At 40.7% G+C, this 18026-nt stretch overlaps 1 protein-coding gene across 38 annotated transcripts in view; it reads left to right on the top strand.

The window, feature by feature from the left end:
* Nucleotides 1-18026, top strand: part of NTRK2 (neurotrophic receptor tyrosine kinase 2) — a 358533-nt gene that overhangs the window by 66119 nt on the left and 274388 nt on the right. For 37 of the 38 annotated variants that reach the window (XM_017014751.3, XM_017014753.3, XM_047423432.1 and 34 more), the window contains 3 exons: nt 7252-7287; nt 10333-10433; nt 17346-17445. In XM_017014751.3, the coding sequence (XP_016870240.1) occupies nt 7252-7287; nt 10333-10433; nt 17346-17445 (237 nt within the window). The remainder of the gene's footprint in view (nt 1-7251; nt 7288-10332; nt 10434-17345; nt 17446-18026) is intronic. The other variant, NM_001369534.1, reaches the window with a different exon arrangement.

Raw genomic sequence — 18026 nt, forward strand, 5'->3', positions numbered from 1 at the left:
AGTCTTATGAGATCTGATGGTTTGATGAAAGGAAGTTCCCCTGCACACACTCTTGCCTGCTGCCATGTAAGACGTGTCTTGCTTCCCCTTCACTTTCTGCCATGATTGTGAGGCCTCCCCAGCCATATGGAACTATGAGTCAATGAAACCTCTTTCCTTTATAAATTACCCAGTCCTGCGTATGTCTTTATTAGCAGCATGCAAACAGGCTAATACAGCCCTTTAAGGAGAAAATTAAGTCAAAAATTTGACCCACCTTTCAGAGGGTGGGTCAGTCTTAGATCTTTCTGCTGTCTAAGCTCTTTTCCCCCTTCTCCTTTTCATTTGGAATGTAGCCTAGAAATGTGCTGTTGGGGACAAAACCAATCTCCTGTCCTTTCTTCTTTTTTGTAGCTATGGTCAAAGATACCCTGACTCCAATATTTAGGTACCTGGCTATTACTTTGTGTTTCATTAAAAAAATTGTCATTTTTTTGCTGAGTGCAGTGGATCCCTTGAGGCTGGGAGTTCCAGGCCAGTCTGGTCAACAAAGTGAGACCCCGTGTCTATGAAAAATAAAAAGAAATAAAAATAAAAATTGTCGTCCTTCATGCTCACTGAGACCTTTTGACTCTGGTAAAACTTCTCAGTGAGTTGTTAAATCAGGGCTTCTCGAACTTTAATGCACATACCAAACTCCTGGGGACCCTGTTAAAATGAAGATTATGATTCAATGGATTTGAAAATGGGCCAAACTAATGTATTTCTAACAAGCTCCCCGATGATGCCAGTACTGCTGGTCCATGGATCATACTTTGCTTAGTGAGGATGCCCTGCAGAAGCTGGAGGGACCACTGGAAGAACTGGTCAGGCATCCATCAAGATGACCTCACTGACTTTCCCTGAGGATATCAAATAGTAATAACAATACAAATATAGAATAGATGGTGCACAGAGATGCCCTTTAATTGGTTTTGGCATAAAGTTGGATGAATTCAATATGTGGCTTAAGAAGGCTAGGGAGAGTGAACAAAAAGTAGAGACAGCAGTTGCAGGCACGTACACACACACAGGGTGGGGTTATCTGAGGAATCTTCAAAAGTTCTCATGTATCCTATTTAGCTTACCAGCCAAAAAGAAAGACTTGTCTAAGATGAAATTGATCCACTGTATGTCAGTCATTGAAATTCAATCCTCCATATAAAAATCCCTTCATGAACCAGAAAGTGTACATGGAGACTGAGTGGAGATTAGAAGTGATGAAGGTTTCTTTTTGAGTAGAATTTGAGGCAGAAATTAATGGCAGAGAGATCACTTATGATTTGTTGTGAGGAAGAAACCTGAAGCCTTTGTTAGCATTTTCTGATCAGATAGCCCAAGTTGCAACAATTTTGAAGGCCAGGTAGTCCTATAAATGTGAACATCACGTTGATGCAAAGTAGATTCTGTTCAGAATCATTACCCAAGTGATTTAACCCTTTGGCTTGGAACAAACCTAACCAGAGCACCAGATGATAAAATACCCTCGTTTTAAAGCTTACCATTCTTTAGGCAGTACATAAAGAGTGTCTGTATGGCCCACTCATTCAGGAAGAATGTCACAGCTCAAGAATGCTCATTCACACAAGCAGTGGGAGTCAGTGACTTGCGCTTCCTAATTCGGGAGCTCCTGTCTCCTATGCGAAATGCGCGTCAGGAACAAACTATAAATATTGGAAGAGCTTTTCCCACAGCTTCTCCTTCCGTGCTGTTTTATCGAAAGATTCATGACATCTGGATGAACTAGAGCTCTCTGCGGCACTTAGAATGCCCCACACTGGTGGATTTAGATTTGGTGTACTTAGTCTAAAGAACGAGGGGAGAGGAAATTTCTCCAAATGTTATGCATTAAATAAAGCTCTCCTGGCTTTATACTATTTGTTCCTTTGGTCTTTTGTCAGGACCTATTTCTTGTCCTGGAGGTGAAGGAGAGAAATTTATGTCTGCTTTTCTGCCTTAAATAACTGAGAAGAGAATGATTTGGCCATACATTCAGAATAATGATAATTAAGATTTATACTTAAATAGCTTCTTATACCTCAGGAGTGCTAATGTTAGTTAATTATGCTTCCCAAAGCTCCTGAGGAATTGCCAGAGCCAATGCTATTATCCTCTCCTGTCTTATAGAAGACTCCATTGTTACAGAAAAAGTGGAGACTCCCACTGCTATATAGCAAATGAGTGGTTCAGCCAGAAAGGAAACCAGATATTGCAATGCCAATTTCAGGCGCTGAGTTCAGCCTGCCCTTCTGAAAGAGAAGAGAAGAACCTGAAAATCAAAAGGCTGATCCCCCCATGAGTGAGAAAATACTGTCGGCAAAGCAAGGACAGTTTATTTGAATAGAACAAATCTTTTGTAATTGCCTTATCATATGGAATTCTTTGAAATATTTTTCAGGATCACATGATCACATTAAATAGAGTCTGCAAATAGAATGGATAGAAAAGTCTTTTCTCTCTCTCTTTTTCTTTAGGTAGAGCATTAGAGGGAGACTAAAAGTTTAAAGGAAGGAAACAGATGTGTCTTCCTGGCCTCCCCATTATTTTTTATCTTGTTAGCAGAATGGAAAATGAACCCTACTGTCAGGCTACCTCTCTTCCCACAATATATTTTTTTTTATCCAACAAACCTGTTTTTCCTTTAACTATAGAGTCTTAACAGTTGAAATGTCATAAAGATGTTTTCTCTTTCATCAAGATTTACATAAAGTCATAAGATTATTCATGAGCTATAAGTGAGTTTAGAAGATGGAAATAAAAAGGTCCTATTTTAGGTTATTTTGCATGGAATTAGGAGGATGGTGCAGTGCTTGGGTTTGATGCTGTTGGGGAAAGAGGAAAGTGATTCCATCTTTGATGTGTGGAAGACCAAATGCCCTCAGGGCTCATCTGCCTCTTGGAGGTGCAGACCTCACTGGCTCCCTGGGAAGCTTTGTCAGGAGTGCGGCTGTGGCTGTGATACAGTTGCTATCCTTCTTTTACTATTTTTTTCAACTTGTATTTTAGAATCGGGGTGCATGTACAGGTTTGTTACGTGGGTCTATTATGTGATGCTGAGGATGGGGATGTGACTGAACCTGTACCCAGCTAATAAGCATGGTATCCAATAGGCAGTTTTTCAGCCTTCCCCCCCATCCGTCTCTCTCCATCTTCAGTAGTCCCACTTGGGGCACTTCAGGCTGTACCGTGGACTGGCTACTCACTTTCGGTAATTCTTGACAACATTCCTTAGGTCAAGAACAAAGTAAAGGTGAGTATGGCACCTTAGGATGCTCAACACGTTCTTCAGAAAACAGGATTTGACCATCAGATCTGCAGACCTTGGTACTTGGCCTTCAACCTCTTTCAGCTGAGGAGGAGTTGCAGCTTACATCCCAGTGAGCTGTGGGGATCATAGACAGTCTGCTGCTTGTTTGGAACTCCAGTGGGTTGAATAGAGTTCCTGGATTTCAATATTTTATTCCACTGTCTCCCAACATGAAGATTTAAGGCTTGACGCTACTTCTTGCTACCTAAATCTGAGATTTCTGATTTGATGAGCACTACTAGGATAGCACTCAAGAAATCATAATAACCCTTTCAAAACCCCACTTTCAGGGGCATGGCTCAAGTCAGATACAGCTTCTTTGTCTTTCATTAATTCTCTTCTTCTTGGATTTTTTTCTCATAGCTAGTGTTTGTCTTTCCTCAGTGACCTTTTAGTCCTGAATATCTCCAACAGGGCTTCCTAACTTTAGCATATAACAGTGTGCAACAGTATGTAATGAAGGAACCATTTAGAAATTAGACTTAAAAATGGCAAGACATTTTCAACATCTGACCATTGCCAGAAGTCTAAAAAGAAAGTGATACATTTTTTCTGTCAGCATTTAAAATGATGTTAATAATTACCTTACTGTTGGAGTGTAAATATCATGGGAGGTTTTGCTAAACTAGGAAGTTGCTGGAAGCAAAATACTTGATGAGCTGGGGTCAGCTGTAGTAATGTGACCCTCACTTTTCATAAACATTAGGTCTCTATCCTCTCACGTGCCAGTCTAACTAAACCTTTGTATACTGAGAGGTGTTTATTTGTTGTGGTGAGTAGACCTTTGTCAGACATAGTGCAGTATGCTTGGGAGAAATAAAAGCAACTCTGTTATAGTTCGTCTCACATTGTCTTTCTGCGAGTTTCATAATCTTACACTAAATTTGGCTGTTGTGGACAAAAGTAAAGTGACAGTACTTGTCATACATCTGGGAGGATGAAATTAGGAAAAAATAGTGCTTTTCACAAAGTTTAGATATGGCCTAACAGTTTTGCTGGTGAACTTGGTAGGAAAGGCATGCGCTGATATGGGTCATAAGACTGGATGGACACTGACCTATTTTTAATTAAATTAAATTAAATTAAATTATTTATTTATTTTTGAGTCAGAATCTCACTTTGTTGCCCAGGCTGGAGTGCAGTGGTGTGATCTCAGCTCACTGCAACCACCGCCTCCTGAGTTCAAGCGATTCTCGTGCCTCAGCCTCCAGAATAGCTGGGACTACAGGCATGCACCACCATGCCTCGCTAATTTTTGTATTTTTAATACAGATGAGGTTTCCCCATGTTGCCCAGGCTGGTCTTGAACTCCTGAGCTAAGATGATCTGCCCGCCTTGGCCTCCCAAAGTGTTGGGATTACAGGTGTGAGTCACCACCCCCGGCCCTGGCCTATTTTTTAGATTATGGGCTAACGTCTTTATTTACGATTGGACCCCAAATCCCATTTTTCCATACCTAACATTTGTTACAGTGAATAGATGTGATGTTCTTGGATCTTCCTAGGGGCTTCGTGTGGGTAGTGTGTTTGGATGTTCCTGTTCTGCAACGTGGCAGATTAAACCTGTATGTCATTCATAGTCACTGAGGCCGTTTAAATGTGTGGCTGAGATAAATCTGGCTCTGAATCCTCAGGCTTGTCACTTTCTTATGGAGCTGTAGGTGTAAAAGCGATGGTGACCACAGGCCCTTCTCTCACATGCGGTGGGGGTCTGTGGGGGCCTGAGAATAAATCAGTGGCCAACTCCTCCCAGGCTAAGGAGTGAAAGCCCCAGAACTAGAAAAAGCCCTCAGTCCTGGGCAGATGGAAAGGATGTGGCTGGGAGTGTCCCCGTTTTAAAACTTGTAAGGAATCCTCTTAGTTCCTGGCAGTCTGGGATGGTTGGCCACCCTACTGCAAATGAAGACCCACATACTTATATCCAAATATTTAAAGATTATAAATCAAATCAGTGAATGTGAATTGTGAAATAGAGTAGGTTCCACCTTCCTGCAAGACAAATGTATAGTTATGATGACGTGGAAGGCTGGATTTGAAGTTGAAAATCTCATATTGTGTTGAAAGGCACATCAGGAAGAGGGACAAGTGAAATCTTCTAAACTAATGGATTACTGAGTACTTTGAAGACTGACTTGCTCTCTTGGGCTTATAGAATCTTTCCTTCAGCAGGGGTAGTAAATTCCCATGGTGAGGGGGACTCCATTTGGTCTAGGGCTTTTGTAAAGGGAAAGGACTTCAGAGGACAACTGAGTCCCCTGCAAGTGACATCAGGAGGGCAGCCACTGGGACTTCTTGCTGCTGCTTTATTCATTGAGTTAGCCCTCAAACTACAGGGCAGCTTTCAAGACTCTTCTCAGAGTGTTATAACAGCTATAAGCAACCCTGACAAGACATATTCACATATGATAACTCAAAATGAGTTTGAATTGGTGTTTGGGATAATAAAATTCTTCAAAATATGATTGAAATTTACTGGAATCAATGACTTTGCATACATTGATACAGTGCCATCATATGTGGCTGCACAGGGTGTGCACTGCACAATTTCCCATCACATGTGGCTGCACAGGTGCACAGGGTGTGCACTGCACAATTTCCCATCACATGTGACTGCAGAGGTGCGCAGGGTGTTCATGGCACAATTTCAGGTGATGTTATTCACATGGACTACAACATTAAAGGCGCCCCCTAGAGTTGTGCGAAGCATGCACTATACAGCAGTATGCAGCATCCCTGGATGGAAGTACACAGCCATTCATTTCATTTTTTTTCCCTGCTAAAATAGATATTTTTCTAGTTGAAATGCGTTACAATTCTAATTTGAACACTGGGGCCACTTTTATTTGGTTCTTCATTTAGACTAACCTTGATTATTCACTGGGGAATGCATGAACAGAAAATTGGCTCATTTCGCTTTACTTTAATGGCATTTTCCTGCTAAGGGTTCAGAAGTGAAATGAAAACTGAGTAAGCTTTATGGTTTACAAGTTTTACTGTTTCACATGGCAAGTGAGGACTAAAAGCATAGGAAATAGCTTTGGAAATTCATTTTGCAATCACTTAAATGTTAAAACAAAATTTAATTTCATTTCCAAGTAGACTTTCATGTAGAGACCCAGTTAGCTCTGATTGGAGAATAAGTAGCAAATGTTTTTGTTACCAGTTCTTGTTGATGCTGAGTTAAAAAAATGTTTTTGGCAAGTCTCATAGGAATACCTTAAAGCAGAATATTTTGATCATCTTGGTGACTGCAGAGCCATCCTCCAAAATTAAATTGATAACTTTTACATTTCTCTCTGACATACCATTTTTTAATAACTTCTTACACATCAATGATTTCAATAGAGGAAGTACATTTTATTTTTCTTTGTTGTGTTAGGGCTTAAAAAAGGTTTCTTCAGCCCTAGAAACTCCCCTGAAGATAAGGTGGAGAATAAAATTGTGCTTTAGATAGCATTATGCAGGGTGGTTAATAACAAGCTCCTGAATGCAAATGGCCCTGCTACACAGTTAACAGTAACCCTCAAACCATCAGAGAATAACAAAAGTGGTACGAAAATTATTTGTCTCTGGAATAAAAATACCGAAACTGCAATGAAAGTAGCCAATTGTATAAGAGAAACAGTACCAAAAGAAGAAAAATGGTAATAATTCATTGATTGCTGAAGTTTTTTCAAAGCAATTTGTGATCTTTTTTTGTGATTTGTTTTCTTTTTTGGAGGGATGAAAGTGGGAGAACCGGGGAGGGGAACGGAGTTAATGTGGAACAACTCAAGAACTTAAAGTTTTGTTTACCTGTCCTGTGAAAGCAGTCTATTAAATTGCAAAACTTCAGTGTATGTCTAGCTTATTTTAGTTGACATAGGTTAGTAATTTTTTGACTCCAAAATGCATACTTACAAATCTTTGCTCTGTTTTGCCTTTTAGGTGCAAACCCAAATTATCCTGATGTAATTTATGAAGGTAGCTATCGTGTTTTCTACTTTGTATTTCTTTTTCAAAATGTTTGTGTATCATGAAGTAAATCAACTGAAAGAAGACTCTTCTAAGCTCAGTTAAATTTACACTTTAAGCATTACATAGGCCAAAATAGTATTTCAAAAAATCATTCAATATTGATGGCCGTTTTCCCTTGACATTTACAGTGCCTGTAAATAGCACTTTCTCTCTCATACCCTGTTCTTGGAAGTAGTGAATCCATTCCGCTGGCTGTAACAGACATCGTATTTCCTTAATTGGGAACTAATTACCTGTTTAAAAGCCATGGCTACCAAGAAAAGGGAGGTATATCAGTTTCTGGCTATGACAGTAAAGCCAATTCAAAATGATGTTTCTTGTGTAATGAAGGTGTTTGGCTCACAGATGGGAACCTCAAAGGTAGGGCTTGATTTAGGGTTGGTTAAAGCAGCAGCTCCACTATGTCATCTGGGACCCAAGTTCCCTTCACCCTACTCTCTTTTTCCCACCACGCCAGCTTCACTGAAGGCTGGTCCCCTTGTGGTTACAAGAGAATGTGGCGGGGGAGCTGCTGCCATTCACAAGGATGGGAGAAAGGGAAGCGCTCCTGAAGGCGTCCTCAAGGAAAGAGAACTTCCCAAGAGACAAGAGCCAAGCCCTCTTTGTATCCAAGTCAAGACCCAATTGGGTCATAGTCCATTCTTGCCCTTATTACTGCTAAGAGGGATGGATTATCCCTTCAGTAACTAAATTCACCCCCAGACTTTAAGTCAGCTTCCCCGAAGGTGGATAGGCTTAACCCCTTGAAAAAAAAAATGGGATTCTCTCAGGAACGTGGAAAGAAAGAAACCAAAGTCCATTATATTAGTTTTTTTTTTTTTTTTTTTTTTTTTTTCCGAGACGGAGTCTCACTTTGTTGCCCAGGCTGGAGTCCAGTGGCGCGATCTATGCTCACTGCAACCTCCGCCTCCCGAGTTCAAGCGATTCTCCTGCCTCAGCCTCCTGAGTAGCTGGGATTACAAGCACGTGCCACCACACTCGGCTAATTCTTATATTTTTAGTTAAGACTGGGTTTTACCATGTTGGCCAGGCTGGTCTCGAACTCCTGACCTCAGGTGATTCACCCACCTTGGCCTCCCAAAATGCTGGGATTACCAGGGTTAGCCACCATGCCCGGCCTATATTAGCTTTTGATGGAATATCGCATCTCTCCTTTGCTGTTTTGATCGAATGCCAAGGATGTTTTCCTAGGTGTGAAAACCCATATTTAACAGATTTCCAAGCCAGCAAGCCACTGTTTGGGGAAGTGGAAGGCTACATTTCAAGACTTGCTTTAAATTTAGGAATGATTAAAAGATTGATTAAAACATTACATTTATATATTTTCTGTAAAATATTCTGTTCCTTAATTTTATATTTATATATATTGATTGATATTTTATTTTTTCTATAAAATGAGCCTGTCTGTATGTTTATTATATGCGTGTGTATTTAACCTGAGCTAATTTTAAGTTGGGGAATAATATTGTCTTTACCTGCTTGTGCATGTTAAGCCATATTTCTTCCAAGCTGTGGTTTGGTTGATTTTTTGCATATGATTTGTGTGTTGTTGTGTTTGTATTTGTCTTGATATGGTTTAAAGGAAGAATCTCTCAAATTGTTTCACAGAGAAATACGTTTGAATTGTGGTTTTACATCTTAAAATTACATTTTTGACCCTTTCCCAGTTAATTCAAGACTTTAAAAATGTCATCTTCCTGTTAGCCTCAGATCCTACTTTGGATCTTTTGGCCAAAATGTCATGATACTAAACTATAGACACTTGAATGATTTAAATTTTGCAGACGTAGTTGGCTATAACATGAAGAGGGAAAACTAAACAAATAAATGATATCCATTAGTGTTTAAAATTAATAAGTTTTAAGATATTCAAAAGGAAAATGATGAGAATGTGGTTTTGGCATTAAGAATGAAACAGCAAACACATAGAAAATAGATTTTTTTCTGTTATTTTTTATTCACAAAGGAACACATTGCTAATAAAAATACAATTTAAATTGGTTGCCCTGAGGCCAGCATGATGATTCTACCTGGAGAAGTTTAGCTGGGGCTGCATTAACAAGGTAGCCTCTTCAGGATGGAAATTGAAGGCAGTGTACCTATTTAGAATTAAAATACAAACATTATAAACCTCATTGTTTGCAATAAGTTTACCAAGAGTTTTCTGAGACCTTTTATATGCAATATTGCTAATAAAAACTTTGACAACCCCTGAAAAAAAATCAGTCATTATTTCTATCCTGACCCATGTAGACTAAAATTGATCCAGAAGGCAGCAACTGCATTTGCGACTTGGTGAAATGAGAACAGAGCGTTAACAATTCTAAGTATTGTGTGGATCTACCTTTTAATCATTCTGAAACTGAAATATTGGCAATTCAGAACTCTTCAAAAAAGTTTACGTGTGGACCCAAGTTTCATACTGATGCTTGTTCCACATATCCTCTTACGTCTCTGCCCTTTGTGCAAATAAGTTGCACCTGTCCTGGAAATCAGTGTTGCTCATTTCAAATCTGGCGTCACGTGTGAGCGCTACCATCTTCTTGCCTTCACCTGGTCATGTAACTTTCCTCCACTGATATTCTTCAGCTGTAAAACTGGTAGTTATGCTCTGTCTCTGAAGACCTTTCCGGGTCTATAAATCTATGACACGTAGATGATCGATTCCCTGTCGTACTTGTTTTAAATATGCCATCCATAAAGGGGTATATGCTTATGTGCAAAGAAAAATCCCTGAACCAGGTTTGGGGCTGACCAACAAGACAATGATGTAAAGGTCTGGGTTGAATAAAATGTGGGCGTTGTGCAGTCTCAGCGCTGCAGTGCATTGAACTCAGCAGCCTGGTCACGTCCCTCCACAGCCAGACTGTCGGGGGTTTGGAATCTTTGTGATTTGTCTTGCTTCATTCTGGCTCTTACTGTGGCCCTGTGTTTGTTGGCAGCTTAATGACAACTTCATGTTCTTCCTCATTCCCCCTTTGCCCACTTAAGATTATGGAACTGCAGCGAATGACATCGGGGACACCACGAACAGAAGTAATGAAATCCCTTCCACAGACGTCACTGATAAAACCGGTCGGGAACATCTCTCGGTGAGTGGAATAAATAGGTGTCTGAATTGGTTCTGAGCATTTTGGATGCCTCCATGTTAGAGGAATGTAGCTGCTTCAATAAGACACTTTTATTGTTCAGATATAAATAGGGTGTTAACACCTAGGTTGGAAGAATTAATAAAAGGCTTAACAAAAGTGATAAAGGTGTTATATGGCCTTTGACTTATTTGCTGCTTTTGTGCACCACTTTTGGTTGTTAGTGGTTCCTATTTCAATTATCTGTGCTTTAGAAGGGTATCACCAGAAGAGCAAGAAACCAGCTTTATCATTCAGGGACTACACCTTCATACCTGTCTCCTTAAATTTTTAATATAATTTTGACTGCTCGCTAGATGTAGGGAATCCAGTAGCTTCTGAAAGGGACTGGCGGTGGAGGGGATATAATCATATGAACAAAATTAAGATTAGTTGTTTAGAATTCATCAGAGACCCTGGAGGTGAATATTAGCACCTCAAATACAAATAGAAGCAGAGCAAGGCAGTACAAGAGATAGAAGTGGAGGAGCAGATGTTTTGTTCCTTGTAGCTGGGACACTCTGAGGAGCCTTTGTGGGGCAAGTGACTTTTTGCATGGCCTGTGCAGAAGGGTTGGGATTTTGACATACAGGAATGGAAGAGAAGGGCATTTGGGGCATGTGAACAGGAGCTTGTAGGTGGAGAAACATCGTGAAGGTGCTTGATTGGAGGGTAAGGCATGTGCAGGACAGCAGGGTTGGAGATAAAGATTGTGGCCAGGTTGTAGGTCTTGACACAGAGTCTCAGGTGTGTAGATTTATGGCACAGTGAAGAGCCATTGAAGAGGGAAGTCACATGATCCCAGGGGTCTATGGTCAGTTGCTCTGGTCCGAACCCAACAACTTCCTCCAGTTGTTTCTTTTCCTCACTGTCATATGCACACAGAGCTTCCTGTGAGCTCTGCCTCCTTATAAATTCCAAATCTGTCCATATCTCCTTACCTCCACTGCCACTGTCACAGGCTAACCCAGGGGTTGGCAAACTATGACCCATGGGCCAAGTCCAGCTCACCACCTGTTTTTGTATGGTTTTCAGGCTAAGAATGGTTTCTACCTTCTAAGTGGTTTAAAACAACAAAAAAGAATGATATTTCATAACACACGAAAGTTTTGTGAAATTAAAATTTTATTGTCCATGAACAGAGTGTTACTGGAACACAGTCACTTGTGTTCATTTACGTACTGTCTGTGGCTGCTCTTGTGCTCCGATGGGGGTGGAGTAGTTGCAGCAGAGACCATATGGTCTGCAAAGTGGAAAATACTTACTTCTGGCCCTTTACAAGGAAAGTTTGCCTCAGTTGTTCTTTCCTGCATGACCACGCAGCCTCCTAACCCATCTCCCTCTCCCAGCCTTGTGTTTCCTGGTCTTTTCCCACACAGCAGCCAGAGTGATCTTTGTAAAGTGCAGATCAGATCATTTTTTTTGTTGTTATAATTCTCAGAGTCCTCTCACTGCAATTGCAATAAAACTTTTCATATGAAAGCCACACTCTTCATGGTGGCTTATGAGCCCTGGGTGACCTCGTCCTTCCCGAGCTCTCTGACTTCATCTCCCACGCTCTTCTTACTGCTTGCCACCTGCCTTTTTCATGCTCTCTCCAGTGCTCCAGTCCTGCTCTTTGTACTTGTGGCTCCCCATCCCAGGCATTTGCTTCCTGATGGCCATGATGTGGCTTCAGCTAGGTGGCCAGCATGCAGCCATTGCCCACTTCCATTTTCTTCTGAGCAGTTATCATTGTCTGGAATGACCCCATTTATTTGTTTGTTTAATGTATTTTTCTCTTCTCTAGATTCTTTAGTAAGACTCTTAGTAGGGGCAACGTGGTCAGTGTTTTTCACAGCTGTCTTCTTAAGCCTTCAGAATACTGGCTGACACCTAGTAGGCACCTAGTACATTTTGCAGACTGGCTAGACTTGCAGTGAACAGTATAGGGCAGAGGAATTGGAAAGGGGTGATCCATTAGGGGTTTGGTGGAGCAATAAAGACATGTGATATATACTTGAACCAAGGCCACAAGAGTGGAAATGGGAGGTGCGTAAACAGATGCAGTGCAACTGCAACTTTATGCATATCTAGTATAGAGGTATGCATGCATGCACATGCACACACGTATACACACAAACACACATGCTTCCGTAGATGACTATATGCATTACATTGAAATAGCAAGAACAAATACCATGGTAAGTCAACTGGGGAATGGTATCTGCTTCCTGCCGTATGCAATCATTTTAGTTTTTAATTCTTATACCAATCCACTTAATATTTCTTGGTGTAAGAAAGTTGTTTGTGTACGTAAGAAATCCAAGCAGCATGTATTAAGCCCAATTACACAAAATTATATGTTGACTTTAGTTTTCTGGGTTTTTTTTTTTTTTTTTTTTTTGTGATGGAGTCTCACTCTGTCACCCAGGCTGGAGTGCAGTGGCACGATCTCGGCTCACTGCAAGCTCTGCCTGCCGGGTTCATGCCATTCTCCTGCCTCAGCCTCCCGAGTAGCTGGGACTACAGCCACCTGCCAGCATGCCTGGCTAATTTTTTTGTATTTTATTTAGTAGAGACATGTTTTCACCATGTTAGCCAGGATGGTCTCAATCTCCTGACCTTGTGATCTGCCCGCCTCGGCCTCCCAAAGTGCTGGGATTACAGGCATGAGCCACCGCACCTGGCCTTCTGGGGTTTTTAAAATACAAATGATAAATTTAGGCACCTGATTGGCATATCTCCATCTATAGTATAGTTGCTGGAAGGCAAGATCAGTGAGTTTGTATATTATGACTTTGCGGAAGGCTCCTAAAATCTGTATGAGAGGTGCAATATTGTGTTTTGTAGAATTTGTGTGGTTCAGATATTTTATATATAAAGAGTTCTTGATCACAGGAGGGATCATTAGATTAGAAGAGTTTGAGAGCCAAGAAGCAGATACAAAAGTTAAAAATGTTTCTGGTCCAACAAGTGCTCTTCCAGCATTTTGTTGGATTTGCAGGGGAGGGCAGATCTCCCTTGTTCTATCCTAAGAAATATCCTCAGATGAAAACTAACCCATCAAGCAGCCAACCAACCAATCAAACAACTGACCAAACAAACTCACCCATGCTCATCTCCCGTGTAAAAACCACCTCAACACATGCAAGGTACACAAAATTCTGTATTTCTCAATCTGATTTTGAGGAAGTAATTCTTTTCATTGTCAAAGGCATCCTTGTTTACGAAAGGATTTAAATTTAGAATGGCTTCAGTAGCTTTAAGTATTTGTTTACAGATCCTTAGCTGCTTTTCAGCAGTAGAGCCCACTTCCCATTTTCTAGGTTGACTTACACATTCTATAACTAGGCAGAGAAGCCAGGGCAGGCATTACTGTCTAATGAAGAAGCAGAAGCTTGGATAAGTGAAGCATCTCTTCTAGCTGTCATGACTGGTAAAAGCAAGGTGTCCTGTGAACGCAGGGATCTAGGACTCCTAAATCCCAGTTAAGGACTGTCCAAAGCAGGGAAGAGACTGTACTGTGGTACTGCTGCATGGTTGGGGGACTTTCAGGCCAAGTCATCTAACCTCCCCCATCGCAGTTTTCTTATTTATCAAATGGAGTTTGACTTTGTTTATTTAGGTATTCTCCATCTATCTGTAGAAGTCTGCAATTTAATAATAAAGAAACTTATAGCTAAAATACTATGATCTCTTTCCCATGAAAACATTAGTTAGAAATAAAGATTTTTAAAAAACACCCAAAGTCATGAGGTCAGCTTGAGTGAAATGGTTACGTTTATCCATAATTAGCTTTGTAGGAGTTGCTACCATTCTGTTTGTATATAGGCTGCAGAGACGGAGTTAGATCTGTATTGGCTGGGCATGGTGGCTCATGCCTGTAATCCCAGGACTTAGGCTGAGGCAGGCGGATCACCTGAGGTTGGGAGTTCGAGACCAGCTTGACCAACATGGAGAAACCCCGTCTCTACTAAAAATACAAAATTAGCCAGGTGTGGTGGCACATGCCTATAATCCCAGCTACTAGGGAGGCTGAGGCAGGAGAATCACTTGAACCTAGGAGGCGGAGGTTGTGGTGAGCCAAGATCGCACCATTGCACTCCAGCCTAGGCAACAGGAGCGAAACTCCGTCTCAAAAAAAAAAAAGTCTATACTCAAACATTTGCAGAAGCGTTTTTGGGGAGATATACTCACAGTTAAAGTACCAGAGAAGAGAATGATCATTACTTTTGCTCCACACTGGCCAAGAGCTTTGTATGTCTTCTTTTTGTGCTCTGTGATTTATTTAATGCTCTTCTCATCTGACATGAAAGATGGTGTCCTGGGAGAATTAGCCATATGTTTTTATTTTCCTGCCTTCATTCTCAACCACATGCTTTGCAGAGACAGTGTAGTGGATAAATCACAGGATTTATACTTGGGCAGACTTGGTTCCATTTCCAAGCTCAGAAGGTGTGACTGTGAGCAGCTTACTTAATTTTTTTGTAAATCTTAGTTTTTTCATCATCATCATCACAGCTAACATTAATTTATTATATATTGTAGTAGATACTGTTCCAAACCCATTACCTGCATTAACTCATTGAGGATTTACAATAACCTACAAAGTAGAATAATTATATTCTCCATCTTACACATGAAGATTATGAGATGCAGAGAGGTTAAGTAATTCTGAAGTCATGCAGCAGAGTGAGAAATCTAGATTTTATACTCAGGAAAAACCCATGGTCTTAATCTCTACCCTATAATGCTTCTCACTATGAGATGGGTATATCAGTCAGAATAAGCTATGCTGCAGTAACAAAACCTCCACATCTTGGGGACTTAAAACAACAAAGTTTTCTTTCTTGCTTCATTTCGTGTATTGGCTAGGAGCTCTGTTCAGCCTTGTCCTTGTTCCAGGACTGTGGATGACAAAGCATCCACATTTTTAAAGGTTAGCCTTTTTCTTTATGACAGAGATAAAGAGCACTGTGGAGCAGGTGGAGCAGGGTTCCTCAACCTTGGCACTATTGGCGTTTGGGGATAAATAATCCTTTGTTTGGGGGGCTGTCTTGGGCACAGTAGGATGTTAATAATGCCTGGCCTCTACCCACTAGGTGCTAGTAGTACTTTCCCCCTCGTTGTGACAACCCCAAATTGTCAAGTGTCCCCTGGATGGCAATATTATTGTCCCTGGTTGAGAAACACTGCCTTAGACTAAGATCTTGGACAAGAAGTGAAGTTCTACACCCTGGCAGTGACACAAGTCTGAACTAGTCACATGAACCACTTAACCACAAGCAAGCCAGGAAATGTATCCTACAAAGAGAAACACAGAGAAAACCAGAAATATTAGACAAACAGCATTAATGATTACTATGGATAGGGATAATAATATCCATCTTAAAAATTGTTGTGCAGATTCTTAAGCCAGAATGGCTCTCTAAGAAATCTCAGAGCAGGCATTGGCGACTATGTTCAAGTCCAGCTGCTGCCATTGTAAATAAAGTTTTATTGGAACACAGTTATGCCCATTTGTTTACATATCATCATTGGCTGCTTTCATGCTCCACCGGCAGAGCTGGATCCTTAGTTGCGACAGAGACTGCAAGGCTGGCAAAGCCTGAAGTATTTACCATCTGACCTTTACAGCAAAAGTTTGCCAACTCCTGGTTTAGAGAAGCCAACTGTTTTTGGAAGCAGGACTTTGGGCTGAGTAAGACTGGAAGGAGACACATAGTGCCGCTGACAACTTTGCTCTAAAATGTTAAGATGCACTTAGAGGAGCATCATGCCTTGGTCAGCAGCAATGGTAGCAGAGTGATCGCATTTCTATGTGTACCTCTGTCATCTCTACCTCTGGGATGGGAGAGGATTCACATATATCTACATCTACCCTCTTGACTTGTGTAATCCACACCTGGCAATTACATTTTTAAACTTACTTAAACATTTTTAGGCTTATATCATATATATGGGAAAATGCACATATCATAAATTTACAACCCAATGGGCTTTGACAAGTGGAACTCACCCCAGAAGTGCCCTCCTGCTCCCTTCCAGTGCCACTCACTGTTCCCAGGGTACCCTGACTTCTAAGAGCAACAATAGCTAACCTTAAAAATAGCCTTTTATTATGGACAATTTTCAAACATGCACTTCAGTAGAGAGAATAGTAAAATGAACCCCATTGTATTCTTCACCAGCTTCAAGAATTATCGGGCTGGATGCGGTGGCTCATGCCTATATTCCCAGAACTTTGGGAGGTGTAGGTGGAAGAATTCCTTGAGCCCGGGATTTCAACACCAGCCTGGGCAATATGGCAAAACCCTGTCTCTGCAAAAAAACTTAAAAATGAGCCAGGTATAGTGGTGTTTACCTGTAGTCCTAGCTACTCAGGAGGCTGAGGTGGGAAGATACCTTGAGCCCAGGAGGTCGAAGCTGCAGTGAGCCATGATTGTGCTATTGCACTTTAGCCTGAGCAACAAAGTGAGACTCCGTCACACACACACACACACACAGAAAAATCACCAGTATTTTGCTGTTCATATTTCATATTCTCTCTCTCCCTTTCTCTGCCCACCTCTCTTTCTCTCTCTCCTCCCTCTTTAGATGGATGGAGAGAGAGCTGTAATATTTTTAAAATGCCAATTGGATAGCCATTTTTATAAGCTTTAACTTATGTTTTCTCATTTGTAAAGTAGGCATAATAATAGATCTTACATACTTCACTATAGGGTTGTCGCAGATTAAGTGAGTTGGTGTACATAAGGCTGTTATAAGAACAAGTGGTAAGCATTCAATAAATATGAACTGCCTGTATCATTATCATCGTCATGATCATCATCACCATATGATTATAGGGAACTAATTAGCAAGGTTATAACCACCCTCCCTTCCTTTCTCTAGGTCTATGCTGTGGTGGTGATTGCGTCTGTGGTGGGATTTTGCCTTTTGGTAATGCTGTTTCTGCTTAAGTTGGCAAGACACTCCAAGTTTGGCATGAAAGGTAAGAAGGGTTGTGTTTATTTAGCTTCTTATGTGGATCATTTTTGGCTTATGACTAATGCTAATTACCACTAAAGAAGGAAGTGGCTAGATTTATGATGATTAGGTTTTAAGGCTAAAAAAATAGCAACAAGGCTTTGATACTACAAATCAAGACGGAGCAAAATAATGTTGATTACTCAGCACTACCCACTTTTCCATGAGAACAGTTGTCCCGGGAGACAGAACTGGGTTCTTGAGTATCAAGGGACTAATAAAGATATGACAAAGAAATAGTACTTGATGTTTCTTTTGCTCCAGAAAGGCAGGTGAGACACAGTGGGGATAGGATAACCTGGACACATGTATTTTGTGCAGAAAGGTCTATGCTGCTGTACATTTGATTCCCAAATCTTCAGTGGTATGCTTTTGGTGTTGTTCCTGCTTTTCCAGATCCTCATTCTTTGAAATTTAAACAACAGTGTTATGAAGCAAAATAAGAACAGCTATCAGCAGTATATAGAAGCTTCGTGAATACATAGCTTTTTTTTTATTTAAGTGGAAAAATTAGCAGGGCTAGATTAAAAATTAGGCACTAATTGA

Source organism: Homo sapiens, chromosome 9, assembly GCF_000001405.40.
Source record: "Homo sapiens chromosome 9, GRCh38.p14 Primary Assembly".
Lineage (NCBI taxonomy): Eukaryota > Metazoa > Chordata > Mammalia > Primates > Hominidae > Homo > Homo sapiens.